Source organism: Homo sapiens, chromosome 5 (genome assembly GCF_000001405.40).
Source record: "Homo sapiens chromosome 5, GRCh38.p14 Primary Assembly".
Lineage (NCBI taxonomy): Eukaryota > Metazoa > Chordata > Mammalia > Primates > Hominidae > Homo > Homo sapiens.
The window spans coordinates 97,985,282-97,987,408 of NC_000005.10; the positions used below are offsets into that span (position 1 = coordinate 97,985,282).

The 2,127-nt window shown below is 34.4% G+C and overlaps 1 annotated feature.

Annotated features, from left to right (window-relative positions):
* Positions 454 to 1,653: an enhancer, noted in NCBI's record as "BRD4-independent group 4 enhancer chr5:97321439-97322638 (GRCh37/hg19 assembly coordinates)". NCBI's record gives its function as "activates an origin of replication core promoter dependent on BRD2, P300/CBP, MED14 and CDK7 cofactors, and independent of BRD4, by STARR-seq in HCT116 cells {active_cell/tissue: HCT116}" and the evidence as "EXISTENCE:reporter gene assay evidence [ECO:0000049][PMID:35650434]".

Consider the following 2,127-nt stretch of genomic DNA (forward strand, 5'->3'; position numbering starts at 1 on the left):
AACAATATAAAGTGCAAAAAGTTTAAGCTTTACACAGAAAATGTATGATACAAAATCACTTTTAACTTAAAAGGCAGTTTAAAGTTTATCTGTGAAGAAAGAGAAACATTTTGTACATAAATCCTCCCAGTTTTCATTGACAATGATGGTGTTATTTAAGCATCCCTGTAATTAAATGTCACTTTAAAAATAATGGACGTGTCAGGGTATCTTTTTAAATGGAAAAAAAGTATATTTTTGTAGTATTAACAGAAGTAATACTCAACCAAGATTTCCCAAATTACAGAATAAAATTAATATCTTCTTTTTTTCCCCCAGCAGTGATCTCTTTTCTATGATTCCTTTTCTGTGAACATTCAGGACTATCTGAACGAAATGGGACCCCCATCTCCTGCCACTTCTGGAGAACAAACAACCCACTCAAAACCATTTACCCATCATCACTGTCCAGATCATTGCACAGGGTGGGTTTATATGATATGCCCACTCTGAAAATGTGGCTAAGTATTCCAATCATAGCTGTTGCCAGTGTTTCCCACCATTGCTGTATACTCTTAGTAAATGGTAGTTGTTAAAAATATAAAATAGGCTTGCTTCATGAGAAGAAGAAAGTACTTTCTCTTGTAAAGTTCCTTTAAGCATTGGCATAGTAAGTGTTCCTTTTCTCATTGATACCATAGTTTTTTTACTGTGTTTTGTTTTGCTTTCTTCAGATTTTAAAGGAAAAATAAGGTGATGTTGCTGATTTTCAGAAATATTTTCAGCTTCAGATATCTGTGATAAAAATGAGAAAAAAGAAGTGGATGTTCTGTCAGAAGGTATTGGTGAGATAGGAGACCCAGAATTGGGAGAAGCAGCTTAGATGGAGAGCAACTTAAATGGGAGAAGTGATGAACATGCGTGAGAAAAAAGTGACTCTGCTCCCTTTGTGATCGGGGCGAACATGACTAACTGATCCAGGAATTTGTTTCATTTGGTCACGAATGGGCTTTGCAAATCCTTCCTAATGACATGACAGTGTCACCTACTGGCAAAGCAGGACCCTATGAGGCATCTAAAGGGAGATTTAGCCAGATATGTTGTTTATCAGAAGCCAGGTACTTCCTCCACTTTTCATCCTCCCTACTTTTCCTTTCTACAGAAATGATTTTTTTTCAGGACAGTAATTTAATAAACATACATACTTTGTGCTCAGCACTCTACTAAATGCTTTTATATACATTATTTCATTCTACATTCACCAAAGTGTAAAGAGATAGGTGCATTTCCATTTTCTAGATGAGGCTCAGAGAGGTAAAACAACTTAAACAGACAGAAAGTTGTAGAATTAAGAATGATACATGTTAGACTCCAGAAAGCATGCTCTTTAGCTCTGTAATAGATCATTCTGTCTCTTCAGTTTAAATGCAAGGGACATTAATACCTCTCTAGAATTTTACTCAATTCTATTGTCTTCCTCCTAATTTACTTCTTAACTACCTAATTCTTGAAACGGATTAGAAGCAGATGTAAAGAAGTGTCCTTATTTTCTTCTAGGTATGTCTTTGCATTATTGAAGTGTATCTCATTCTTTAGATTGCCTAGTCTTAAAGTCCAGGTGGCTAAGTTTATTCAAGCAATTAATTGGTTGATTGAGAGGTAAAATACTATAAAACTGATTGATTGACTAGCATGACAAGACTCCGTATAAAAGTGGATGTATTTGTTCATCCATTACCTATTTCTTAACATTTTCTAGAAAATTAAGTAGCTACAATATACAAAAATAGAATATAGCATAAATATAAATTAAAAGATGTAATAATGAATCTACTTTTACCAGGTGTAGTCCCAGCTACTTGGAAGGCTGAGGCAAGAGGATCACTTGAGACGTTCAAGGCTGTAGTGCACCATGATTGCCCCTTGTGAATAGCCACTGAACTCCAGCCTGAGCAACAAAGTGAGACCTCATCTGTAAACAAACAAACAAAACTGCTCCTGAATTTCAATGTCAATTTATTGTAGAAATCTTAAAAACTTAATCCTCCTAAAATAATGCTGTTTTTAGGGGCAACACATAATTGTGTACAATTTCATGTTTCTTTTGAAGTGATAATTAAAAATAATTGAAACAGTTATTAAAGAATA